The 25844-nt window shown below is 45.2% G+C and overlaps 2 protein-coding genes across 12 annotated transcripts in view, besides 4 other annotated features; one reads left to right on the forward strand and one right to left on the reverse strand.

Moving 5' to 3' along the window:
• The window catches only part of NUGGC (nuclear GTPase, germinal center associated), a 61973-nt gene extending 46004 nt beyond the window's left edge, over positions 1–15969 (reverse strand). For 3 of the 5 annotated variants that reach the window (XM_011544523.3, XM_017013403.2, XM_011544526.3), the window contains exons 1-5: positions 15808–15969; positions 6401–6489; positions 2285–2389; positions 1577–1757; positions 249–471 (exon numbers count right to left, since the gene is read on the reverse strand). In XM_011544523.3, coding sequence (XP_011542825.1) covers positions 249–471; positions 1577–1757; positions 2285–2389; positions 6401–6443 — 552 coding nt within the window. In that variant the 5' untranslated portion in view covers positions 6444–6489; positions 15808–15969. Of the gene's footprint in view, positions 1–248; positions 472–1576; positions 1758–2284; positions 2390–6400; positions 6490–7583; positions 9384–15807 lie in introns of those variants that run through there. The other 2 variants (NM_001010906.2, XM_011544524.4) reach the window with 2 other exon arrangements.
• Positions 7685–7744: an enhancer, noted in NCBI's record as "active region_27159". NCBI's record gives its function as "activates an Ori minimal core promoter by ATAC-STARR-seq in GM12878 lymphoblastoid cells {active_cell/tissue: GM12878}" and the evidence as "EXISTENCE:reporter gene assay evidence [ECO:0000049][PMID:35858748]".
• Positions 11127–11256: an enhancer, noted in NCBI's record as "active region_27160". NCBI's record gives its function as "activates an Ori minimal core promoter by ATAC-STARR-seq in GM12878 lymphoblastoid cells {active_cell/tissue: GM12878}" and the evidence as "EXISTENCE:reporter gene assay evidence [ECO:0000049][PMID:35858748]".
• A 6295-nt stretch (positions 15970–22264) lies between the features above and the next one.
• Positions 22265–25844, forward strand: part of ELP3 (elongator acetyltransferase complex subunit 3) — a 100922-nt gene continuing 97342 nt past the window's right edge. For 5 of the 7 annotated variants that reach the window (NM_018091.6, NM_001284226.2, NM_001284224.2 and 2 more), the window contains exon 1: positions 25172–25266. In NM_018091.6, coding sequence (NP_060561.3) covers positions 25248–25266 — 19 coding nt within the window. In that variant the 5' untranslated portion in view covers positions 25172–25247. Of the gene's footprint in view, positions 22437–25171; positions 25267–25844 lie in introns of those variants that run through there. The other 2 variants (XM_024447184.2, NM_001284222.2) reach the window with 2 other exon arrangements.
• Positions 24753–25306: an enhancer, noted in NCBI's record as "H3K27ac hESC enhancer chr8:27950237-27950790 (GRCh37/hg19 assembly coordinates)". NCBI's record gives its function as "activates a minimal SCP1, AML or CMV promoter by ChIP-STARR-seq in naive H9 embryonic stem cells {active_cell/tissue: H9 hESC(naive)}" and the evidence as "EXISTENCE:reporter gene assay evidence [ECO:0000049][PMID:30033119]".
• Positions 24798–24847: an enhancer, noted in NCBI's record as "active region_27161". NCBI's record gives its function as "activates an Ori minimal core promoter by ATAC-STARR-seq in GM12878 lymphoblastoid cells {active_cell/tissue: GM12878}" and the evidence as "EXISTENCE:reporter gene assay evidence [ECO:0000049][PMID:35858748]".

Below are 25844 nucleotides of genomic sequence, written 5' to 3' on the forward strand. Positions count from 1 at the left end.
TGGGATGGGCTCTTTTCATTCAACAAAGGCATGAGCTGTATTTGCAAGGAATATAATGTTATCTCTGAGAGACAGTGAGAAGGAAAGAAAGAAAAGGAAGAAAAAAAGGAAGAGAAGGAAGAAGGAAAGAAGGGAGAGAGGGAGGGAAGAGGAAGGAAGGAAGAAAGAAAGGAAGGAGGGAACGAAAAAGGAAGAAAGGAAGGAAAAAGGAAGGAAGGGAAGGAAGGAGGGAGGAAGGGAACACTTACCTGGTCAGACAGAAGGTGGATTTTGGCCTCATACTGCACACAGCAGCCAGAGCTCACTTGTACAATGCAGGAAGTACATATGCTTTCTCCAGACACTGGTAGAAACATTGCTTGCTGGATGATGGCATTGATCAGGGAGCTCTTCCCAGCCCCAGTGCTTCCAAATAATGCAATGTAGATTGGGTCCACTGTCGGCTTTTCAATCAAGGCAAGAAGCCTATTTCTGGATGAATTTTAAAATGCACATTGCCATGATCATCAAAGTTTAGAGTGAAGAGCATTGAAACAGAATGCAAAGGAACTGAATTCTAATCCCGGGCACGTCACTACAACCTGAGTCTCTGTTCTCTCCTCTGTCAAAGGAGAATATCAATCCCTGTTGACCACACAGAGTTGGCCTGGGGATCAAATGAGATTATGTAAAAATATTTGGTAATGATAATTCCACACAATCCCTGTAATGTCTATATAGATGTGAGGTGTCTTTATTTGTATTCACTGGAAATTGCATATTCTTTTTTTTGTTTGTTTATGTGTCTGAGACAGGATCTCACTTTGTCACCCAGGCTGGAGTGCAGTGGTGCAATTATGGCTCACTGCAGCCTTAACCTCCTAGGCTCAAGCGACTCCCTTGCCTCAGCCTCTGAAGTAGCTGGAACTACAGGCGTGCTCCATGACGCCTGGCTAATTTTTTTGTATTTTGTATAGAGACAGAGTTTTGCCATATTGCTCAGGCTGCTCTCAAGTGGTCCACCCGCCTCGGCCTCCCAAAGTGCTGAGATTATAGGTGTCAGCCACTACACCTGGACAGAAATTGTATATTCTTGATCCTAGAAATACAATGTATACAGACATGAAGTATTAATAGTGTTAGGAGCAACACAGAGTCTTACTGAGCAGGAGAAATTGTAGCCTCAGCACCACTCGAGTCCTTCAAGTCAGCAGAGGACAAATAATTGGGGACATGAGCTCAGAGTCACACAGCCTGGGGTGAATTCTGGACCCTCTCACTGACTACTGGTGTGAGTTTGTTCACATCTGGGCCTCTCTGAGCCTCAATTTCAGTAAAATGGAAGTGATCATAATAGCTCCTACTTTATAGGAGTGTTGGATGGGTTAAATGATATTTGACATATATAAAGCACTTAGCAGATTACCTAACAGTGACAGCTCAATGAATGGCAACTATCCCATAGCTACAGAAATTTGTGTCCCTCTTTTCTTAGTTTCTAATTAAATAGTCCCTTTCCTTGTTGGGGGAAAGCACCTATAATCGCCTAAGGAAAGACACTGACATAAAATTTCAGGGTTGCAGATTTCAGACTCACATGAGATACTTGACTCCATTAGGGATGCTGTCATCCAGGAAGACAGACTGAATAAGTTTCTGATAAGTGTTGCTCAAAACCCTTCTGGTCCGTGATTCCAATTTTTCATCTGGAATTAACAGAGAGATGTCACCTGCAGGTACCTGGCAGGGATAAAGTACTAGGTCTCCAAAGGAGGTGTCTGTTGAACATCGCAGAGAAGGGAAAAAAAAAATGAAATGAAAAGCCGATTAAACAAGATAGCAGGTTATCTCACACGAGGGATGGCGGCTCACTGGAGATAGCAATCATTGGTTCTGAAAATCTCCAAAGAGCCAGGCTGCTCTGAAACTCTGGTAACAGAAGTTATGGTATGCTTGGCCACGGGCTTCAGCCCCTTCTAGATTTTTCCCTCCTGTGGTCATAAAAAGAAAGAAAAAATGCAAGGACACCATGCTGACACCCACGGAAGCACCAACCTCATCATTTTCACAGGCTTTGTTCTAATCTGGAAGAAGTTATTTTGATAACAACCCTCCTGCCCACAGATGCCTGGAGACAAATTGCCTAACTGCATACCGCTACAGAGACTTTGAGCCCTCTCTTTCCAAAACAGGTTTATTTGATGTTTCATCCAGCTTCAGAATTTAACCTCCTCTTCCTTTGACCATTTTAACATACTTGGAACAGAACCGAACCATGTTAAAACAACAGTTCCAAGACACTCACATTCCTTAAGAGCACTCTGCTCCATGGAGGGAAATGCTCGGAACCGCTGGTCTCGATCTGATTTCCTTCTTTTTCTCGTTCGTTCTTTATATAAATCATCTTCAACTAGAGATAAACAGAGGATATATAAGATTATAGGTGTTGGGGTATGGTATTCTTGCCTCACCTCTATCAGCATAGAAACTCAAAGGGTCTAACAGACTGGCTGGGTGCAGTGGCTCATGTCTGTAATCTGAAGCATGAGGGATTACATGCCTGGGAGGCCAAGGTGGGAGGATTGCTTGAGGTCAGGAGTTCGAGACATGCCTGGGCAACACAGCAAGACCCTTGTCTCAAAAAAAAATTTTTTTTTTTGGTAGAGACAGGGGTCTTACTGTGTTGCCCAGCAGGCCAGAGTGCTGCGGCATGATCACGACTCACTGCAACCTCAACCTCCCAGGCTCATGTGATCCTCCCACCTCAGCCTCTAGAGTACCTGGGACTACAGGCACACACCATCACACCTGGCAAATTTTTGTAGAGACAGTGTTTCTGTATGTTGCCCAGGCTGGTCTCGAACTTACCAAAAATATATATATATATATTTTTTGATTAGCCAGGTGTGGTGGTGTGCACCTGTAGTCCTAGCTACTCAGGAGGCTGAAGTGGGAGGGTCACTTGAGCCCAGGAGTTGTAGGCTGCAGTGGGCTATGATTTTGCCACTGCACTCCAACCTGGGTCATACAAGACCCTGTCTCAAAAAATAAAAAAATAAAAAAATAGGAACTGCTTCCAGCTCTGTCTGCCCATAAACTCATTTGGGAAAAAACACTGTTGGATCATTCCAGTTTGGTTCCTACTTCTCAGAGTCACAAGACTGTCTGCATTTAGTTCCAAAATGTAGAGTTCAATCTATCTCCCCAGATAAATAGTTTCTATTTGCAACTCCTCAGAAGCCAAAGTGGCTGGACATTCTTCACCAAATGCCAAGTCTTAGGAAATCAACCAACTGTGTAGAGAAAAGCTGAAGACGGGGTTAAGTGTGCAGTGAGGAAAGGCCTCTGGGAGGTCTTTCCAGACTAGGAAAGAAAGCGACTAGAAGCAGAATGCAAAGGAAAACAGGGGCCAGGTGACCAGAAAAAATCACATCTTCTTGAGCCTCAATTTATTCATCTGGAAAATGAGAGAACTGACAAAAAAAATACACATGCATTACAAGAGTTTGGATGGATGCCCTTCAGAGATCCTTCAAAATTTGGGGAAATTTTTTCCCTTCTTCACTTGGAGACATCAGCAGTTGCTTCCTTGCATAATAAGCAAGAACAGAAATCACCTAGAAGCAGATCTTTGTAGCTCTGCGGAGATTCATTCACTTAAGCAGTTTCCCTTGGTTATGAAGTGAAGGGCTTGTTGGGCCCATCATCCTAAAGAAGGGGTATAACCAAAATGTTGTGTTTTAGATGGATTTTAGAAAACACCCCCTGGTCATGTTTACCTGGCTAGAAAGGGGCAAGAGGTGGATCTTTGGGGTGAAGGTTGTTGAAAATGGTTCTAACCCAGGGCTCCTGGGGCTGGCCTGCACCTTAGAAAATGGCCATGAGGTGAACCAAAAGAGTAGATCCCCAAGAATCACAGGGAGGCCATGAGGCTCCAAAACTGAGTGTGACATTCTGAGGTCATTCCCTGCAGAATCACAGAGAAGAAATGTCACGTGGCATCCAAGAACGGCAGCCCACACAGAAGGCCCAGTCTCTGCCTGAGGGCTCCAGACACAGATCTCCCAGACAATTCAGGCAGCCCTCCCTCTCTGTTCAACCTTGCATCTTCCAGTAGAAATGGAAGCCAACGCACACCCCGTAGAATATTCTAGTGCAAGCCATGCTATTTGCCAAGGCCTGAATCTCTGCCACCTCATGCTCCACGCTCAAGCCACAACTGAGAGTTGAGAGAGGTTATACTTCGACCCTTCCCTCTCAGACATTCTAACTGATGATTGAGCTCAAATTCAAGAATTCGCCCTGGCTCGGTTTGAGGACTGCCTTAGAACTAAATACCAAGTGGTTGCTGGCTTGGTGGCTGGAGCTGGAGAGGAAGAGGCAAAGAAAGAAGTCTGCTGGTCAGGCCCCTAGGCCAGCTACCGGCTGAAGAACACTTTAATCTGTGCTCGAAAAAGCATCTCAGAACTCCAGGATGTGTCCACAACCTGTCTGTGGAAAGAGTGGAAAGGGATGTAGACTTTGTAACTCAGGAACTCTTTTGGGTAAACAATGTTTGCCTAATCTCTTAGCCATGTGTATAAAACAAGGGCCAAGTCCACACATCCAGGGCCCTTATTTCAACATTGTAAGGACTGGCAACGAATCTGATAAGAGTTTGGAAGCTTATTTCTCAACTAAAGCAAATGCTAGGAAGTCCAATACAGCAGGGTTTAAAACTTTTTCTTCAATTTCTAAAATGCAAAACTATCTGGAAAGGAGAAAGTATTCCATCTTGGATTTATACCATACGAGGGTAGTATTTTTATATTAGATTGTAACCAAAATAAACTTGTCCGAATTTAGATCACAGATCTTATTATTCTTGTCCATCGCTCAAGCCCTTCCTTGCCCTTTCCAGCATTCTCCACCGAGAAACCAGCTGTTGGGGTGGATAGCGGCAGTCCAAAAAGCGTAGTATACTGCTGCTGTTCCTTCTTGCTGCCACAAGGTGTCAGTTTTGAAAACTGATCCCCCAACAGCCTGAGCTGAGATGCGGTTTCATTGTTGACTGTTGAAATTTTTTTTTTTTTTTTGAGACGAGGTCTCCACTCTCGCCCAGGCTGGAGTGCAATGGCTGGGTCACGGCTCACTGCAGCCTCAACCTCCGTGGCTCAAGCAATCCTCCGACCTCAGCTCCCAAGTAGCTGGAACTACAGGCACTCACCACCACGCCTGGCTAATTTTTTTTTCTTTTTTTTTTTTTTTCCAGTGATGAGGTCTTGCTGTGTTGCTTAGGCTGGTCTTGAACTCCTGGGCTCAAGAGATCCTCCTGCCTTGGCCTCCCAAAGTCCTGGGATTACAGACATGATTCAGACCATTGCCAGAAACTGCCAGAAATCTTCCAAGCAAAACGATCCCATTCCTCTAGGCTAAGCTCAACTGAGGTGACCCCAAAGTGGCAGCTCTTCCTATATGCCTGCTCAGGCTTGCTTCAGATGCTAGCATCACCCCCACTAACCCAGAAACACTGCTGCACTTTGCCCCTAAGGAAATCCATCCCCTCGGAGTGAGGAAACATTCCCTCTTCAGTTCTCAAAACACAAAGGATATGATACGCCACTGTTTTCTGCAACTGGGGGTTATATCCCTGTCATCGTCCTATAGGGAAGCCTCCCTTATTGGCTCCAGGGGCGCAATACCAGCCTTCTGAGGGAGGGAAGCCACCCGCACTGACTCCAATGTGAGTCACCCTTCCAGGAGCCGCTCCAAGGCACCTACATCTCTCCTTCTACGGAAAGCCGCCTAACGTCATTCCAGGGGTCTTGTAAGACAGGCTACCTGACTTGGACAGAGAGTCCAAGCTGACTTTCTGGAACATTATTATTATTGAGATGGAGTCTCACTCTGTCGCCCAGGCTGGAGAGCAGTGGCACAATCTTGGCTCACTGTGACCTCCGCCTCCTGGGTTCAAGTGATTCTCCTGCCTCAGCCTCCCAAGTATCTGGGACTACAGGCACACACCACCACACCCGGCTAATTTTTGTATTTTTAGTAGAGATGGGATTTCACCATGTTGGTCAGGCTGGTCACGAACTCCTGACGTCATGTGATCCACCCGCCTCAGCCTCCCAAATTGCTGGGATTACAGGTGTGAGCCACCATGCCCAGCCTGGAACTTTTTTTTTTTTTTTTAAGGAAAAAGCCGCACTTATTTAACTGCTGGCCAAACAGTTCACTTCATTATGAACAGGTTATTTCAGTTACTGTTGAAATATCTGATCTTCATTCACTATTTAAACTTGTCACGAGAAAGCACCTTCTGAATAAAGAGTAAGGAACAATGACAACAGTGAAATATAGTCCCAACCTATTTGCCTTTTATCCTATATCAGTAATCAGTTCCTATATCCTCCATCAGAAGATACTGCAAAGATGTTACCTGGATGCGGTTCCTGGCCAAAAACATCCTTCGTTTCTGCCATTCCTTGTTACGTGAACTCCTGCTCTTCTCAGTTCAGGAGAACCAGCCTGTGAAGACAAAGTACAAAGACAGGTGGGGCAGCGGAATTTGAAAATACAGAAAGCAAACCCTAAGGATGTGTCAGTCTGCTTGTGCGGTATTTCTGCCCATTCCAACGTATCTCTGAATCCCTCACAACACCTAGTACACTACTTGATGGAAATATAACAAAGATTAGTGTTTGAACACTGGTTTCCAATAATACTTAGGCCAGGCGCAGTGGCTCATGCCTGTAATCCCAGCTCTTTGGGAGGCCAAGGCGGGAGGATCACTTGAGGTCAGGAGTTCAAGACCAGCCTGACCAACATGGTGAAATGCCGTCTCTACCAAAAATACAAAAATTAGCCAGGCGTGGTGGTGGGTGCCCATAATCCCAGCTACTGGGGAGGCTGAGGCAGGAGAATCTCTTGAACCTGGGAGGCGGGGCTTGTAGTGAGCCGAGATGGAACCACTGCACTCCAGCCTGGATGACAAAGCGAGACTCTGTCTTGAGAAAAAAAAAGAGTCTAAACCAGTATTACCTGAGAGCTTTAGGGTAACTCACGCTGAAATGAGAATAAGCCTCTGGTGACCAGAGCTGTGAAGGTGAATTTATATAGCTTCGCTGCTTTGGGTGGCATCAGTGCTCCACTGGGGCAAGGCTTGAACCCTGAGCCAGTGCTATTTAGTTCCAGAAAGTCTCAGCAGGAATCTGGGAGGTGGAACATTAGATATTCCTAGAGTTCCCTGGAGTTGCTTTGGGGGGCTGCTGACTGGGGAAGGAGATGCAGTGACTTGGTTCCCTGGACCTTCCTCACCAAGCGCAACTTCCACCAGGAGGACACCCCTCCTGGGCTCTCCTTGCAGCTTGCAGCATGGAGCATCTGCAGGAGGGAGAGGAGAGGCACATCCAAAAGAAGAAGGGGCAGATCCAGTTGGTCTCCAGTCCACCAGCAGATAGGGCTTGGACATAGAGGGAGAACTGGACCCGTGGAGGCTCAGAACAGAGGGCACTGCCCAGACAGGGTAGAATCTGCTAGCCTGGAGCTGCTTCATCTCCACCCATAGAGAAGAATTTGAGGAACACGAGTGGGGAACACCCAAGGTGCTTACTTGCCGTTACCTGATGTTTCTGTTTGGATCACTCAGCCGTGTATTTCAAAAGCAGAGTCACCAGCCCTTCTGAAATATGCAAAATCACCTTTGATCTGTCCTACTAGACCCACAGGCTGTTATTTAGGGAAACTATGTCTCATTTACACATTAACCCCAAATTAAAATCACCATTCATCAGTTACTCTTAGTTTGGTTTGCAGATATTAACTGACTAAACGGCTTCTGTATTTGGTGGGTGTTGGGTGAATGGGGTGAGAACCCCTATTAAGTGCAAGATTCTGAGTCTTAGGTAGAGCTCTTTCCCTCTCCCTTCCTCCCCTCTGCAGCCCATTTTCAGATCATCCCACACTCCTTACAGTTCTCCAAAGCAGGGTATCCTATTGAACTGCTGAGCATTTTAGCACATGTGGGGTGCCCTTCCCTTCTTCTCGCAGGTGAATTCCTGCTCTTGCTTCAAAATCCTGTTCTAGTGTTTCCTCTGTGAAACGGTGTCTGATTCCCACTCATTCCCCCCGTGTGTCCCCGGCTCCATACACACCTGTGTTATAACACTGACTGTGCTGTGCTTACGTCTGTTCCTCCTGGTTGAACCACTCGAGGTCAGAGGACTGCATTTTTTTCAGTGGTGCATTTCTATCAAGAAGGGCAATGACTAACTAAACGTTAGCTGAATGAATGGATAACATAATGGATGGGAAGCTTTTGATGAGATTCCACACCAAAGGATGTTTAAAAGCTAAATTTGTTGTTTTGGTCTGGTGGTTTGTTTGCTTGTGACAGAGTCTTGCTCTGTTGCCCAGGCTGGAATGCAGCGGCACAATCTCAGTTTACTACAACCTCCACCTCCTGGGTTCAAGCGATTTTCCTGCCTCAGCCTCCAGAGTAGCTGGGATTACAGGCATTGCACCATCATGCCTGGCTAATTACAATTTTAGTAGAGATGGGGTTTCACCATGTTGGCCAGGCTGGTCTTGAACTCCTGGACTCAAGTGATCCACCCACTTCAGCCTCCCAAAGGGCTGGGGTTACAGGTGTGAGCCACCATGCCTGGCCCTGAATTCATTTTTGGTATGTTAGAGTCCTTGATTGAAGAGTAAAGCAAAGAGTAGAAATAAATAGTCAAGTATGCAAATGAAGCGGCACTCACAGTGAGGACTGCTCCACGGGGATGAGGAATATTTGATGTGAGGTAGGGAAGACACAGGTAAAGGCAGAAGATGGGGGCAGGGGCCTTCATGGTGGTCTTCAAATGCATTACCTTACAGCTGCAAATAAAAGAGACATCCTGCATATTTTCTAGGGTTCCCAGAGGGTAGAAATAGATCCACTAGGTGGCAGGTACAAGAAAGCATTTTGGTTTAACATTCTCAACTAATCAGAGTTGTCCAAAATGGAATGAGCTCCCTTAGGAAACCGTGAGTTTTCTGCCTCTAGAGGTGTCTGAACCTATATTGATATGACCACCTAATAACGACATTGAGATAGATAAATTTTAAGCCTTCTTCAAATCCCAAGATTCTATGTTCTTACTTGAAATTTTCACCAAGAAAGCTGGTAGTAGAAGTGCCCTATGAGGTCACCAAATTTCACAAGAGGCACAAGCAATTTCTGGTTTGGAATACTGAGTCAGAAATGCTGACACACATCAAAACCTAGGTGAGCTACAAGAAAAAAAAAGGTAGATGGGCTATAACATGAGTAAATATACCATAATGCATGTCAATAATTTTAGGCAGGGTGTGATGGCTCATATCTATAATCCCAGCACTTTGGGAGGCTGAGGAGGGAGGATTCATTGAGCCCTGGAGTTTGAGACCAGCCTGGGCAATCAAGTGAGACCTTGACACTACCAAAAAAAAAAAAAAAGAAAGAAAGTAGCCGGTTGTGGTGACACACACCTGTAGTACCCACTATTTGGGAGGCTAAGATGGGAGGATCCCTTGAACCCTGGAGTTCAAGGTTGCAGTGAGCTATGATTGCACCACTGCACTCCAGCCTGGGTGACAGCAAGACCCTGTCTCAAAGAAAAAAAAAAATTAGATACAGAACTAGGATTACCCCTAGGAAAAAGATCTGTTGTTTTCTGAAGAGAGCAGCTTAAGGAGTAACTCGTATGAAATGCTAGGCATCATATTATCACAGTGAGCACTGGAAGCAAAACAAAATGTATGATACAACCAGTGAACAAATCCATGGTCGACCTCCAGGACAGCTGGTGTGCTGGAATTCAAATTCTAGGAGGAAACAGTGGAGCCGGATAAAGTACAAAAGAACTGATAGACCAAGTTGATAAGAGTCGTGGTCATACAGACACTAAGATTAGGGACCTTCAATTGAGAGAGCTGTGGATTAAAGGGCACAAAATCAAAGGGCCTTGAGTTTAGAGCAGAAGCAGCTGTGGTCACTGAATTCTGGAATACGGGTAGTAGTTTTGGCTTCTTTCAGAATCACAAGAACTTTAGTTCATTTGACTTCATTTACTAAATCAACAGTACACAGTGTCCAGCAAGGGCCGTTAGCATGTAACTAGCTGGGGTTGGTTTGGGTTTAGCTGCATGCAATGAAGACAGAAAACCACACAACTTCCTCCGTAGCAGCATCTATGGTTTCTGTATACAAGTAATTTGTGAACTCTAACTGAAATTTGGAATCATTGGAAATTATGTGGTTTGGTTGTGGTGGATTGGGCTTCAAATTCCTTTGGCCAATGTTCAAAGACTGGCAGGAAGGGATCATTTGATGACCAAACAAAAACACTAGCAAATGGAAAGGGATCATTTGCAAAAAGGCTAAGAGGACAGAAGAAAATAAACACCAAGTACATAAAAAGGAAAAGCGATAAACAAATGGGGGTAGTTTGGTACAGACATTCAGTATATAGTCATTGGGTTGAACTAAATGATGAGGTGGGAAGAACATTAGGCTGGAAATCTGGTGTGGAAGCTTCCAGCTCCAGCTTTACCACCCATCAATAAAGCTGGAGGACTTAAGACAAGTCGTTTTATCACCCTGGCCTCAGGTTTCCCATGTGTAAGGCAAAGACTGAACTAGTCCTTAAAGTGTGAGTGTTCTCTGATTTAGATGGGTGCTAAAAAGACACAAATTCTCATTTTGAAAATGTCACCTGTCATTGAAACTGAGACCGTACCAATGATTAGGGCTTCCGTGTGGCCAAGAGCAGTACACCAAGAGCACTGTGATTTCAAGTGCATTGTATTAAGGAGAAAATGAGCTACAGGAGTATAGTCCTTCTTCAAATCATCCTGCAGTCTATTTCCCCCCAAAGGGAAGGAATGGTGGTGTTCATTGTGAAAATTTGGTTTCTGTGGAGAAGCAATTGATAACAGTCCAAATTTATTGCTCAGATAAGCAAGGTTCTGCCTGTGTGGTTTATTTTGCTTGTATTTCAGCTATGTGGTTAGCACTGAAGTTTTGCTTTTAGTGCTTATTTACATTCATGTGCACTGAACCTAAGAATAGCATCTTTTAAATAAGACTGTGCACATTCAGCTAGATATAGGAAGGCTGCACAGAACTGATTTCCTGATAAATAATTGTAACTTTTCACAGTTATTCTTGCTTCTCTCCCCCTCCTTTTCTTCTGTTTGTGTTTGCTTATTGTTTTTTTTCTTACAGGAAAATCACAGAGGCAACACAAACGCAGGTCATTCCTGTACTAGAACAGCTGCATATCATGGCATTGAATAAAGAATGCGGGCCGGGTGCGGTGGCTCTCGCCTGTAATCCCAGCACTTTGGGAGGCTGAAGCAGGTGGATCACAAGGTCAGGAGTTTGAGACCAGCCTGACCAGCATGGTGAAACCCCATCTCTACTAAAAATACAAAAATTAGCCCGGTGTGGTGGCACGCGCCTGTAATCCCAGCTACTCAGGAGGCTGATGCAGGAGAATTGCTTGAACCCAGGAAGTGGAGGTTGCAGTGAGCCGAGATCACGCCACTGCCAGCCTGGGCAACAAAGCGAGATTTCGTCTTAAAAAAAAGAATGCTAGGGCCCCTTCTTCTACAGATCCAGACCCTGAGGACCAGGAAGGGGAAGAAACTTGTCCAAGGTCACATAGTAAGATTATGGCAATGAGGGCTGAAACTCAGTTTTCCTGACTCCAAGTTCAATGTTCTTTTCATCACATTCAGCAGCCTCTAATAGGCACTATTTAAACAAGCCCCCTGGAGCTCAGGCATAGGGCAATGGAAGGAGTAGTGCCCGCAAAGGAGGGTTCCCTCAAATGCATGGCAAAGGCATTTCATGAGAAGGAAGGCTGTTGAGTGGGGAGAGAGAGTAGCAACTTGATAGAATTGTATGCAGGAACTGAAGCTGAAGCTACTGCCTGCAAACTGCTTTTTTGTTTTTGTTTTTGTTGTTCTTTGTTTTTTTGTTTGTTTGTTTGTTTGTTTTGAGATGGAGTTTTTGCTCTATCGCCCAGGCTGGAGTGCAGTGGCACATGATCTCAGCTCACTGCAACCTCCGCCTCCCAGGTTCAAGCGATTCTCCTGCCTCAGCCTCCCGAGTAGCTGGGATTACAGGCACCTGCCACCATGCCCGGCTAATTTTTGTATCTCTAGTAGAGACAAGGTTTCACTATGTTGGCCAGGCTGGTCTCGAACCCCTGACCTCAGGTGATCTGCCTACCTTGGCCTCCCAAAGTGCTGGGATTACAGGCATGAGCCACCATGCCCAACCTTACTGCCTGCAAACTTGAAGACACCCTCAGAAGTAAAACAAGCCAGAGAGAGAGAGAGAGACTATCAGAGGAATACATTTTCACTGCATTTTTTCTGTGTTCAATGCAAAATTCAATGTGTTTATTACAAATGACAAATGTCCTTTTCTTTTCCCCTAGTTATTCTCCTTAGGCAGAATCTCATTTCACCCTACCTTGCCTCGCATCATTAACCCTTGCCAACACTATTTACTTACTTAAATTTAAATGCTTAAATTAGCAAAGTTTCTCAAAGGGGCATTTTGGTCATTAACATTGGTTTACTCTCTACTTTTAATAAATATGGGAAGTACTTGGTACACAGCAAGCACTAAATAATTTGTTGAATGAATGATGATAGATATAATTTTTTGTATCTATATCTAGATAGATCTATCTAGATCTAGATATAGATATATATCTTAGATGGTAAGATCAAGAATAGCAGAAATTATATTTACTATTTTATTTATCCATCCATTCATTCAACAAATATTTGTGAGTGCCTATGATGCACCAGGCACTGTTCTAGATACTGGGGGTACAGCAGGAAACAATGTGGTCACAGTATCTGCAAACAAAGGGCTTCCATATTCCAGATGTGAATGGTGGAGCAAAAATTATTAGGGATTTGGAGTCAGAATGCCTGGATTTTTGCTCCTGCTCCCAATCTTCAATGCAACACAGAGCAAATCACCTGATCTCTCTGAGCCTCTATTTCTCCACATATAGGATAGAATTGGTTTTAAAAAAAATACCTGTATCAAGAATTCATTGGCCAGGCATGGTGGCTCATGCCTGTAATTCTAGCACCTTGGGAGGCCAAGGTGGGCCGATCACTTGAGGTCAGGAGTTCGAGACCAGCCTGGTCAACATGGTGAAACCCTGTCTCTACTAAAAATACAAAAATTACCTGGGCATGGTGCAGCATGCCTGTAATTCCAGCTGCTTGGGAGACTGAGGCAGGAGAGTCACTTGAAGCCAGGAAACAGAGGTTGCAGTGAGTTGAGATCGCACCACTGCACTCCAGCCTGGGCAACAGAGCGAGACTCCACGTCAAAAAAATAAAAAATAAAAAAGAGTTCGTTGTGAGAATTAAATGTGATAATGAATGCAAAATTGCTCTGCAGGCACTTATGCATCTGTACAAATGTTATTTTTTGAATATTTTATGAAGGTAGTTAAACTAGAAATCAGTACTAGTGTCATCCAGGCCACGTCTGTTAGTCTTTGGGGAACAGATGCCACCTTAGCTGAGATTCTGACTCCCGTTCTTGTCCCTATTGATCAAACACATTGAGGATGCTCTACCATCTTCCTTAAAGAATCTTCGATCAGCTGGGTGCAGTGGATCACACCTGTAATCCCAACATTTTGGGAGGCTGAGCCGGGCAGATCATGAGGTCAGGAGTTTGAGACCATCCTGGCTAACTCGGTGAAACTCTGTCTCTACTAAAAATACAAAAAATTAGCCAGCCGTTGTGGCACATGCCTGTAGTCCCAGCTACTCAGGAGGCTAAGGCAGAGGAATCGCTTGAACCCGGGAGGCGGAGGTTGCAGTGAGCTGAGATCATGCCACTGCACTCCAGCCTGGGCAACAGAGTGAGACTCCATCTCAAAAAAAAAAAAAACAATCTTTGGTCAAGTTTTTTCTTGCTCTCACAAGAAGGTGAGCTGAAGAATGAAAGAAGGAAGAGGAGGAGACTGTTAATGAAATGATAGAATGTTGATGAAATTTAGAATTTATTTCCTTTCTCTTTGAGTTTGGGTTTAGGTTTAAGTAACTTTGGTGTTGGCAACATTTCCTAACCACCTCGTTGGCCACTGCACTGCTCTTCCAAACTAGGGATGTCCCAAGGCAGCAATTTAAACACATTAGCTCAGAAGCAAAAGTGAAACAAGGGCCTCCAAATCTCTAAAGGAAAAGAGGTATGTTTTCAGCATTAACACATCGGCTAATGTGTTCAGAATTAGAAATGTGGCCACCAGAAGCAGTCGTAGTAGAAGGGAGGCTTTAGGATGACATGTTTTTCTCCATCTTTCTTCCCTAGGTAAAGAGGTAAGCAAAATAAGCAGATATTTTCATAACGTACTTTAGCAGATTCTAGCGAAACGAATTTGAATCTTCTCATATTGCTCTCCCAAGCTTGTTAAAGCTAATGAGGCATAAGATGACACTTCCCTCCTTATCAGGAATTCATACACCTGCCAGCAATTTCTGCAATAGCTGTTTTCTTTTGGGAGGAATGATTAATGACTTGCCTAAGATCACACTGTTCTGTAAAATTCAAACTAAAACCTGATTCTCCCCATTTCTAGCCCACTGGCCTTTTTACATAGCCTTAAAATTCACTTAAACAGCCTGAGCATGGTGGCTCATGCCTGTAATCCCAGCACTTTGGGAGGCTGAGAGGAGAGGGGATCCCTTGGGCCCAGGAGCTTGAGACCAGCCTTGGCAACAAAGTGAGACCCTCATCTCTACAATTTTTTTTTTAATTAGCTGGGCATGGCAGCATGTATCTGTAGTCCCAGTTATTCAGGAGGCTGAGGCAGGAGGATTACTTGAGCCCAGAAGGTGAAGATTACAGTGAGCCATGTTCATACCACTGCACTCCAGCCTGGGTAACAGACCGAAGCCTCAAAAACAAACAAACCAAACCCCCAAAATTCACTTAAGCAAACAGAAAAGTAAAATTCACTTTCCCTCAAGAAATAACTTGCTTTAAGAAAATCAAAGGAGAGAGAAGAGACAAATGTCCCATATACAGAAGAATTCCAAATAATTTACGTAGCTACTCCATCCTCAAGGAGGTAGAATAAAACTCCCTGCTCCTTAAGTGTGTGCTGTGCATAGCAGCTTCTTTCCAAAGAGAACACGGCGGAGATTGGAGCAGGGAAAGGATCACCTTATAGCAGAGAAACCAGACAAGCGCTGCCTCTACCAGGTGGTCAAGGTCAACACCAACAGTCCTAAATCATGTTGACAATATTATCCCTTGATATGATGTGATGAGAACAGCACTTTAACTCTGGGACTCCTTCCCCAAAACCCATAACTCCAGTCTAATAATGAGAAAAACATCAGACAAATGCCAATAGGAGAAGCCTACAAAATACCCAACCAGTACTCCTCAAAACTGCCATATTCATCAAAAACAAGGAAAGTCTGAGAAACAACGCTACAGCTAAGAGGAGCCTAAGGGAACATAACTAAATATAATGTGCTATCCTGATAGGATGCCACAGTAGAAAGCAGACGTTAGATAAAAACCAAGAATCTGAATCAAGCACAGACTTTAGTTTAAGAATAACGTATCAGTATCGGTTCATCAGTTGTAACAAATGTACCACACTAATACAAGATAATGGGGAAGTTGGGTGGGAATTACATGGGAATGCTCTAAACTATCTTCTCAATATTCCTGTAAACTCAAAACTGTTCTAAAAATTAAGGTCCATTTTTAAAAAATCAACCACAAGTTACAGTACAAATTACATAAAAGAAACAACTTACCAGATGTCACTGAACAGAAAAAAAAAAAAAAAGTTCTGGTTTGGTTACAGGAGTCCACAGAGGAGATGGTGGCAGCTTCTCCTTGGTTCAGGTATTTGGAACCAGCTGGGGTACGTAGCCCTTTGGGCCACAATCACAAAGCCACGTTTACACAGCAGAAGTGAAACCAACTTGCCATCAGGGAGCTATTTACCATGGTCTCCTCCCACAGATACTGATTTATTCTGTCTTCTTTCACTTAAATCTAAATTCACCAGGCACGGTGGCTCACTCCTGTAATCCCAGCACTTTGGGAGGCTGAGGCAGGCAGATCACTTGAGGTCAGGAGTACAACAGCAGCCTGGCCAACATGGTGAAACCTTGACTCTACTAAAAATACAAAAAAAAAAAAAAAATCAGCCAGGCGTGGTGGCAGAACCCTGTAGTCCCAGCTACTCAGGAGGCTGAAGCAAGAGAATCACTTGAGCCTGGGAGGTGGAGGTTGCAGTGAGCCAAGATCGCGCCACTGCACTCCAACCTGGATGATGGAGCAAGACTACATCTCGAAAAAAAAAAAAATCTAAATGGTACATGAAACGGGGATCTTGCACCCTTCTCTGCCATGTTCCTACAAGTAGACAGATGTCTTTTTTCCTTTCCAAGTGCATCACTGCATCCTTCCACAGCATCTTTTCTCTGAGGGTGAACAATATTCAGATGACTGGTTCACTGGAGCAGACAGGAAAAATGCCCCAGTTCCAAGACAGACAAAGCACTGGCTCCCCGACACCCAACTATAAGACATGACTGGGAGAGATGGAGGATATGAGATAATAAATATAAAGTTATTCTTGACCCAAAGTCTTAAAATTCACCAAAAATAACATTTGCCAAAAATAAAACAACATTGGATTGTTTGAGTGTAGAAATGAGTGATATACCGCTTTACACCTCTTTCTGGAACTTAAATTTTAAATCCGTATATTTTTATGTCTTTATTTAGTTAGAGACAAGGTCTTGCTCTGTCACCCAGCCTGGAGTGCAGTGGCGTGATCATAGCTCACAGCAGCCTCGACCTCCCAGGCTCAAGCCATCCTCCCACCTCAGCCTCCTGGGTAGCTGGGACCATGGTCATGCTCCATCACGCCCATCTAATTTTAAATTCATATTTTTAATAAACCCAGAAAACAAAAATTTGAAAGTGCTGTCCAGGAGAGAAGAAAATAAAACCCACTCCACTTTGCTGTGTCTGGCAACCCAAACCATCACATCACATACAGGGAAAAAGTTGTCCCTTGAACCCTCAGCTTCAGGGTGTGTGTTACCTTTTTTTTTTTTTTGTGAGACACAGTCTTGCTCTGTCACCCAGGCTAGAGTGCAGTGGCGCCGTCTCAGCTCACTGCAACCTCCGTCTTCCGGGTTCAAGAGATTTTCCTGCCTCAGCCTCCTGAGTAGCTGGGACTACAGGGGTGCGTCACCATGCCTGACTTTTTTTTTTTTTAATTTTAGTAGAGACAGGGTTTCACCATGTTTGCCAGGCTGGTCTCGAACTCCTGATCTCATATGATCCGCCCACCTTGGCCTCCCAAAGTGCTGGGATTACAGGTATGAGCTACTGTGCTGGGCCAAGGGTGTATGTTACCTTTAAAGGCCAACTCAGTCATTACCAAGACAACCCTCAGTACTCTAGGTATGTATTTAGTCTGAAGAGGGGATTCAGAAGGTAAAGAGGTCAGAACAGGGAAAGAATTGAAGATAAATGTTTAGACTGTGGTCTTAAAAACTGCTTTGAACTTTTGGCAAGATGACGTCCCTCCTCCATAAGAAAACCACAGAAACACCAGGCTAAAGTTCAGAACAAAGAAAGTCAGCACAAATGCCATCCTGGATGCTGAGTCTTATACTGATCTCTCTAGGCAAAATCACACCTTACGCTTACATTCATGTCACGTGTGCTCAGCTCTCCCTCTACTGGCTATTTCTTAGCTTCAACAGTTAACCACAAATGCTACTAAATTACTTAATTATTAAAATTAATTTTGAGCATTTTTAAAGCTTCCTGGGGCAAGGCCCAGTGGCTCACACCTGTGATCCCTGCATTTTGGGAGGCCGAGGTGGACAGATCACCTGAAGTCAGGAGCTTGAGACCAGCCTAGCCAACATGGTGAAACCCTGTCTCTACTAAAAATACAAAATCTAGCCGGTCATGGCAGTGTGTGCCTGTAGTCCCAGCTACTCAGGAGGCTGAGGCAGGAGAATTGCTTGAACATGGGAGGCAGAGGTTGCAGTGAGCCAAGATCAGGCCACTGCACTCCAGCCTGGGCGACAAAGGGAGACTCCATCTCAAAAAATAAAAAAATAAAGCTTCCTGAGTTCCTTTATTTGTTTGCTTGTTTTTGTTTGTTTGTTTTAGACAGGGTCTCACTCTGTCACCCAGGCTGAAGTGTAGTGGCGTTATCACGGCTCACTGCAACCTCAACCTCCTGGGCTCAAGTGATCCTCCCACCTCAGCCTCCCAAGCAGCTGGGACTACAGGCATGTGCCACCACACTTAGCTTAAAAAAACAAAAAACAAAAAAAGAAAAACAAAAACAAAACAAAACTTTAGTAGAGATGAGGTCTCCTTATGTTACCCAGGCTGAACTCAAACTCCTGAGCTCAAGCGATCCTCCCATCTTGGCCTCCCAAAGTGTTGGGATTACAGGTGTAAGCCACTGGGTCCAGCCTCTGGGGTTCTTTATGGTAGTCCTTGGCACCTGCTATTGGACGCCTGAATGCTAGGCCTGTTAGATGTTTCTCCATTCTCTCAGGCTGAATTTCCATTGAGCTCACTGAAAACACTGAAGCAATGAGACCGTCCACAGAGCCTCATCATCACCCCCAACCACCTATCCGGTGCTCTGCCCTCCAGCCTGTTGCTAGATGAACTATCCATGCACCCATTAAAGGCCAATCCCTTCTCTGTGCACCAGATTCCATCCCTCTCTCTAACTGAAGAACCATGTAGAGTACTTCCTCCTCTTCTCTAATTCACCAAACTTTCACTCTCCACTGGATTATTCCCATCTGTGAACAGATTTGATGTCATTCATTCCACCTTAACAAACACTCCCTGGACCTCCATTTCCCTGCCAGGTATTAGTATATTTCTCTGCACTTCTTTATGACAAAACTCCTAGGCTGGGCATGGTGTCAGCACTTTGGGAGGCTGAGGCAGGAGGATCACTTGAACCCAGGAGTTCAAGACCAGTCTGGGCAACATAAGGAAACCCCTGTTTCTACAAAAAATAAAAATAAAAATTAGCCAGGCATGGTGGTGCATGCCTATAGTCCCAGCTACTTGAGGGGCTGAGATGGAAGGATCACTTGAGCCTGGGAGGTCGAGGCTGCAGTGAGCTGTGATTGTACCACTGCACTCCAGCCTGGGTGACAGAGCAAGACCCTGTCTCCAAAAAAACAAACAAAACCCCACAACTCCTCAAAAGAGTTGTCTCTACTTACTGTCTCAAATTCCTTTCCTCTCAAGCTAATATAAACCTATTCCAGTCAAGCCTTCACCCTTCCCATCCCATTAAAGCTGTTCTTGTCAAAGTCCACAATGATCCTGGTCAATTTTCAACCTTTATCTTTCTTGAGCCATCAGGAGCATTTGACCTGGTTGATCATTCCCTCCTGTTTGACAAACCTCCTACACTTGGCTTTCAGATAACCACTCCCCTAGTTTTCATCCCATCTCCCTGGAAGTGCTCCTCAGTCTCCTTCACTGGTTATTCCCTCGCTTCTCAACCTGTTAATAATAAAATACCCCAAGGCTTCATCTTCGGTCTCTTTCCTTTCCACAGCCACCCTGTTTCGTAGCTTTCAATTTCGTTCACATACCGATGGCTCTCGACTGATATCCAGTGTCAACCTCTTTCGTGTCTTCCTGTTCACTAGTCATCCGAAAATACAAGTTCAAACCAATCCCCGCCAGTCCCTTGAAACACCTCTCCACCTAATTTTCTCCATTTCATCTAATGATAACTACATTTTTCCAGTCCCTTGGTCAAAAAGCTTTGGTGTCACATTTGATGTTGCTGTCTGCCTTTCATATTCCACATCTGATCTGTCAAAAAGTCTTGTTGAAATCTTCAAATTATATTCAGAATCTGAACACTTCTCACCACCTTCACTGCTGACTACCCCGATTTGAGTCTCAATAATCTCTGGCCTCATTCAGTGGTTCCTAAGTTTTGCTGCACGTTGGAATAACCCAGGATCTTTTAAACATGCTAATGCCTGACTCCCACCCCTTGATATTCTGATTTAATAGGTGTGGGATGTAATCTGGGCACTGGGAATTTTTCACTGCTCTCCAGGTGATTCCAATTGCAGCAAAGTTTGGGAATCATTGGCCTGGCTATGGTAACCGCCACCCACCTGATCTCCCCACTTCCACACCAACCCCCTCCCACAGTCTATTCTCAATGCAGCAAATAGACATGCTTTTAAATTACAGATCAGATCCATTCAATTCTCTGCTAAAAACACCAGTGGCTCCCCATCTCAATTAGGGTAAAAGCCAAAGGCTTTTCAATGGCCCACAAGGTGTTACATGAGCTGCACTGCCCCCTGTCCCATGCGCCACTCCTCTGACCTCTCTTTCACATTGCCTCACCCACTGCTCCCGTGATGTCAGCCTCCTCAGTCTCCTTGAACACCCCAGACATCCTCTCACCTAGGACTTTTTTTCTTTTTTGAGATGGAGTCTCGCTCTGTCACCAGGCTAGAGTGCAGTGGTGTGAGATCTAGGCTCACTGCAACTGCCACCTCCCAATTCTCCTGCCTCAGCCTCCCGCGTAGCTGGGAGTGCAGGCGCGTGCCACCATGCCCAGCTAATTTTTGTATTTTCAGTAGAGACAGGGTTTCACCATGTTGGCCAGGATGGTCTTGATCTCTTGACCTTGTGATCTGCCTGCCTCAGCCTCCCAAAGTGCTGGGATTACAGGCGTGAGCCACTGCGCCTGACCTTCACCTAGGACCTTTGCACTAACCATTATCTTAGCCAGAAATACTCTTTCCCACATATCTACACATCAAGTATTAGCTCAAATATCACATTGTCAATAAGGCCTACTGTAACCCCTATTTAAAATTATACCTTTAACCACCTATCTCCCTCCCCTCTCTGAGATAAAACAGGGAAGAGGTAGAGGATGGTGCCATTAGATAAGGAAGAGCAGATCTGGAGTAATAATAGAGTTCTGTTTGGGACATGTTAAGTTTGAGATGCCTATTAGACACCCAAATCTAACAAGATATCAAATAGGGGAAAAGTTGGGGTTGGACTGGAAACCTGGGAGCAAACACGTGGTGCTCTGGGGATCACCTTGGAGAGACAAGGCTGAGTGACCCCCATGGAACACTAGTATTCTGAGGTGAGGCAGAGACAGAGTTCACAAAAGAAAGAGAAGAGAAACCAAGAGAGTTGGAGGGCCCTGTCATAAAAGATGTTCATGGAAGAGTTGACAAAAAGAGTCAAACTCTGTAAAATACTTGAAGAGATTTATTCTGAGCCATGATTGACCAACTGAGGCAAGACAGGCAAGCTCCAAAATTGGGGCTTTGCCTGGGAGGGTTCTTGGCTTTGCCCAGGAAACAATTCAAGGGTGAGCTGATGGTGTTAAATAGCAACTTGCATTGAAGCAGCAGTGCACAGCTGCAGCAGAGGGACTGCTCCTTGCCGAGCAGGGCTACTCACAGGCAGTGCCCAGAAGAGCAGCTCAGAGGCAGTTCTGCAGTCATATTTATACCCACTTTTAACTGTATTCAAATTAAGGGGCAATTTACGCAGAAATGTCAAGAATGAGGATGGTAACTTCCAGGTCATCAGGTCATTGCCATGGAAAGGGGAGGGTAATGTTCAGGTGTTGCCACGGCAATAGTAAACTGACATGGCATACTGGTGGGCATCTTATGGAAAGTTGCTTCCACCCCTGCCCTGTTTCAGCTAGTCCTCAACTTGATCCAGTGTCCAAACTCTGCCTCCAGAACAGAGTCCCACTTCCTACCTCACATGGTCTGTGACAGAGCCCCAGGGGATCCTGAGAACATGTGTCCAAGGTGGTCAGGTTACAGCTTGATTTTATACATTTTAGGGAGTTATAAGACATTACTACATGTAAGATGTATATTGGTTTGGTCCAGCATGGAGGAAAAGTTAAATATTAAATCTGAATTCAATTGAACCTGGACACAAACAATAGTCACCAAGTCCTGGAACAAGTTTTGTGAGTCCCTTGAGGCTTTCATCCAGCGCTGTTTCAGAGAAATCTCTATTTCAATCTATTCCTATACATTAGTTATTGAAAAACAATAGACAATAGCAAAAACAAGTTGACCTTTTTGTGTTCCTTGAGCCTGGTTGTGAAGGGCCCTTGTGACTGGGCCTCATGCCAAACAACTTGTTACAAAAAGAGCTAGGGTCCCAGGCCCAGCCGAAGCTTCAGGAGACCTATCCTCATCTGTGCAAGGAGGAGTGGCCAACTCTGGAGCCCAGGCTGTTGCTTCCTGGTCTGGTGGTGAATCCTCCATAGTCTGGTGAGTGTAGTGCCCAACTCTGGAGCCCAGGATGTTGCTTCCCGGTCTGGTGGTGAATCCTCCATAGTCTGGTGAGTGTAGTGTCCAAGTCTGGAACCCAGGCTGTTGCTTCTTGGTCTTGTGATAAATCCTCCATAGTCTGATGGGTGGGTGTGTGTGTGTGTGTGTGTGTGTGTGTGTGTGTATACACATATACTTTCCCTTCTACCCTTCCCATTGCAATTTGCTTATTATATCTGCATTGCCATTTACATGGGATAAAGGTCGTTTACCCTTAAAGGTATTGTGTATGTGTCTTTTCTTCTCCCCTCACGCATATCCCACAGAGAACAACCAGAAAGGTGGGACAACTCAAAGCATTGATGTGGGGTCAGGGGGCAACACTTTCAGGTCACAGGCAGATTCAGTTTTCTCTGACTGGCAATTGGTTGAAAGAGTTATTATCTATAGACCTGAAATGAACAGAAAGGAATGTCTGGGTTAAGACACAGAGTTGTGGAGACTAAGGTTTTATCATGCAGAGGAAGCCTCCAGGTAGCAGGCTTCAGAGAGAATAGATTGTAAATGTTTCCTTTTTTTTTTTTTTTTTTTTGAGCCGGAGTCTCACTGTGTCGCCCAGGCTGGAGTGCAGTGGTGCAATCTCGGCTCACTGCAAGCTCTGCCTCCCGGGTTCACGCCATTCTCCTGCCTCAGCCTCCCAAGTAGCTGGGACTACAGGGGCCCACCACCACGCCCGGCTAATTTTTTGTATTTTTAGTGGAGACGGGGTTTCATCATGTTAGCCAGGATGGTCTTGATCTCCTGACCTTGTGATCCGCCCACCTCGGCCTCCCAAAGTGCTGGGATTACAGGCATGAGCCACCGCGCCCGGCCGTAAATGTTTCTTATCAGACTTTAAGAGTCGGTTCTGTGCTCTATCAGCCTTAAGGTCTCTGTGTTGATGTTAACACTGGTTAGCAGCTCCTGAATTCTAAAAAGGAGGAGGGAATAAGGAGGCATGTCCAACCCCACTTCCCATCATGGCCTGAGCTAGTTTTTCAGTTTAACTTTGGAATGCCCTGGGCTGAGAATTATTTTCGGTTTACAGAGGAGAACTTATGTTCATTGGTATAGGATGACAATGAGGTCAGACAAATACCACTGAACTTGGCAGGCTGGGAAGTTACAAAGCTTAGCAAGGCCAGTTTCAGTGTCATAGTGGGGTCAAAGCCTCGTTGTTGCCTCAATTCTAGTAGGGTACATATTCCTGTCTTTATTAATGGGAGAGGTTCTTAATCTCCAGCCCATGGACAAAGGAGATCATAGATGGGTTTCAGGAAAACATCCCAAGTCCTGCCTCCAAATTTTGCAAAATTTTGTGCCTGTGTATTTTTCTGGAGAACGTAAACCAAACAGTGTCTGAGACAGGTCTCAGTCTGGAGGTTTATTCTGCCAAGGTTGAGGACACACCCAGGAAAAAGAGACATAAGTTATCATGGAATCTGTGGCCTGTGGTTTTTCCAAAGAGGGTTTTGAGGACTTCAATATTTAAAGGGAAAGAGCAGACAGAAGGGGAAAGAGGAACAACTATGCATTCATTTCACACTCAGTAAATCTGCCTTTTACAGAAGACAAAGTAAACATAGAGGAAGGAGTCAAATATGCATTTTTCTTGGGGTGGACTGAAGGGTGATTTCTAGTCTTGTCCTTGTCCCCTACCTACTGTAAATTTGCATGGTCAGGGTGGAATTCAACAGAAGTGTTGTAAGGTAAAGACTCTGCCACTCACAAGGAATTTCCCTGTGAGCAACTCCTCTGGGAGGCCACCTAGGGAGATATGTGGGCTTCTGTCTTTGCAGCTGTTTAGGAACAGAAGGAAGGCAGTTTTTGCGTGACTCAGTTCACAAGCTTAACTTTTTGTTGTTGTTGTTGTTGTTGAGACAGGGTCTCGCTCTGTCGTCTAGGCTGGACAACAGAGAATGATCTCCACTCACTGCAACCTCCACTTCCGGGTTCAAGAGATTCTCCTGCCTTAGCCTCCCAAGTAGCTGGGATTACAGGCGTGCACCACCACGCCTGGCTAATTTTTGTATTTTTAGTAGAGACAGGGTTTCACCATGTTGACCAGGGTGGTCTTGAATGCCAGACCTCAGATGATCTGCTGGCCTTGGCCTCCTGAGATGGGCATAGTGCTAGTATTACATGTGTGAGCCACTGCGCCCGGCCCTAAGCTTAACTTTTTTCTTTGGCAGAGTTTAGGGTCCCGAGATGTTATTTTCCTTCCACAAGAGACATCCACAGCTTTCACGATGGTTACCGATCATATGTGCCATTCATCTAAGACCAAGGTGACCACCTGGTCCCAAAGCCTGCACCTCGGATTCTTACTCGATTCCCGCCTGGTCTCTTCCAGGCCCTCAGTTAGTTTCCACAACATGGGAGGGTTCCTCCTCCGTGGTCTCGCCCATTCGCGTTCCCACCCACCCTCCCCGGATGTGACGACCCTGGGCTCCCACTCCCCCCCATGAGAGACCATCCACTTCCACCCTTTCACTTAGGCTTCCTGGCGCAGCCTCTATCCAGGAACTCTGTCCCATAGCTGTACTGCCCAGGTCGAGCTTTCTAACCCCAAGATGCCACTCCGTTCAGACGTTCCCATCCTCCATCCCTGAGACCCGGGGCAGGATCGCAGCCTAGGGGCCTCACGGGCCGCCTGCTACCCTGTTAGTTGCAACACGGGGCGGGGCGTGGCTTTGTGCACGTCGGCTTCCGGGAAGAGCTTTACGATACATTGACCGACATTTTACGACAGGCGGGATTGTTTTGTGGCTGTCAGCTTTCCCCGTGGTCTGAGTTTGTGGCTGCATTTTTATCTCTGGTGGCTCTGCTACGGCGGCGCAGAAATGAGGCAGAAGCGGAAAGGTGCGAAAGGGGAAGGAGATGGGGGAAAGGGGTGGTCCGAAAGGGGCGAACGCCCAGGCAATCAAATGCTGAACCGAACTTTTACCGCGAGAATCCGCTACCCAGTCCAGTCGCCCCGCCACCTAGGGTCAGTGTGTCCATTCTGGTCCCCGAGCCTTCTCGTTTTTCCTGTTTTGCTTTTTGAAGCACCCTACCCTTCCTCTCTTCCTCTTTGGCAGTCACGTGGTGTCTTGTTTGAATGGCAGGGAAACCATTATTCCAATATATGCCCTCCGAGGAGTTAACGTCGATTTAACGGGTTGTAGGACTTTTCATTTGTTAAGATTTGTTTCACGACACATTTGACGTGTTAGAGAGTTTCTTTTAAAGCCTTATTTTAAGATATTAAAAAAACCTTAATTATCCTTGGATTCAGTGTAAGAGTTGTGCATGCAATTATTCCCATTTTTATTACATCATGAGTTAGCAATGAACAATTCCACCTTTGGTTTTTCAACAGGACGGATTCAAATTTGAAATATTCTCTCACAGGTTCTGTTCCTATTTCTGTATCTCACAGGTTCTGTTCCTATTTCATT

This window comes from Homo sapiens, chromosome 8, assembly GCF_000001405.40.
Source record: "Homo sapiens chromosome 8, GRCh38.p14 Primary Assembly".
Taxonomy (NCBI): domain Eukaryota; kingdom Metazoa; phylum Chordata; class Mammalia; order Primates; family Hominidae; genus Homo; species Homo sapiens.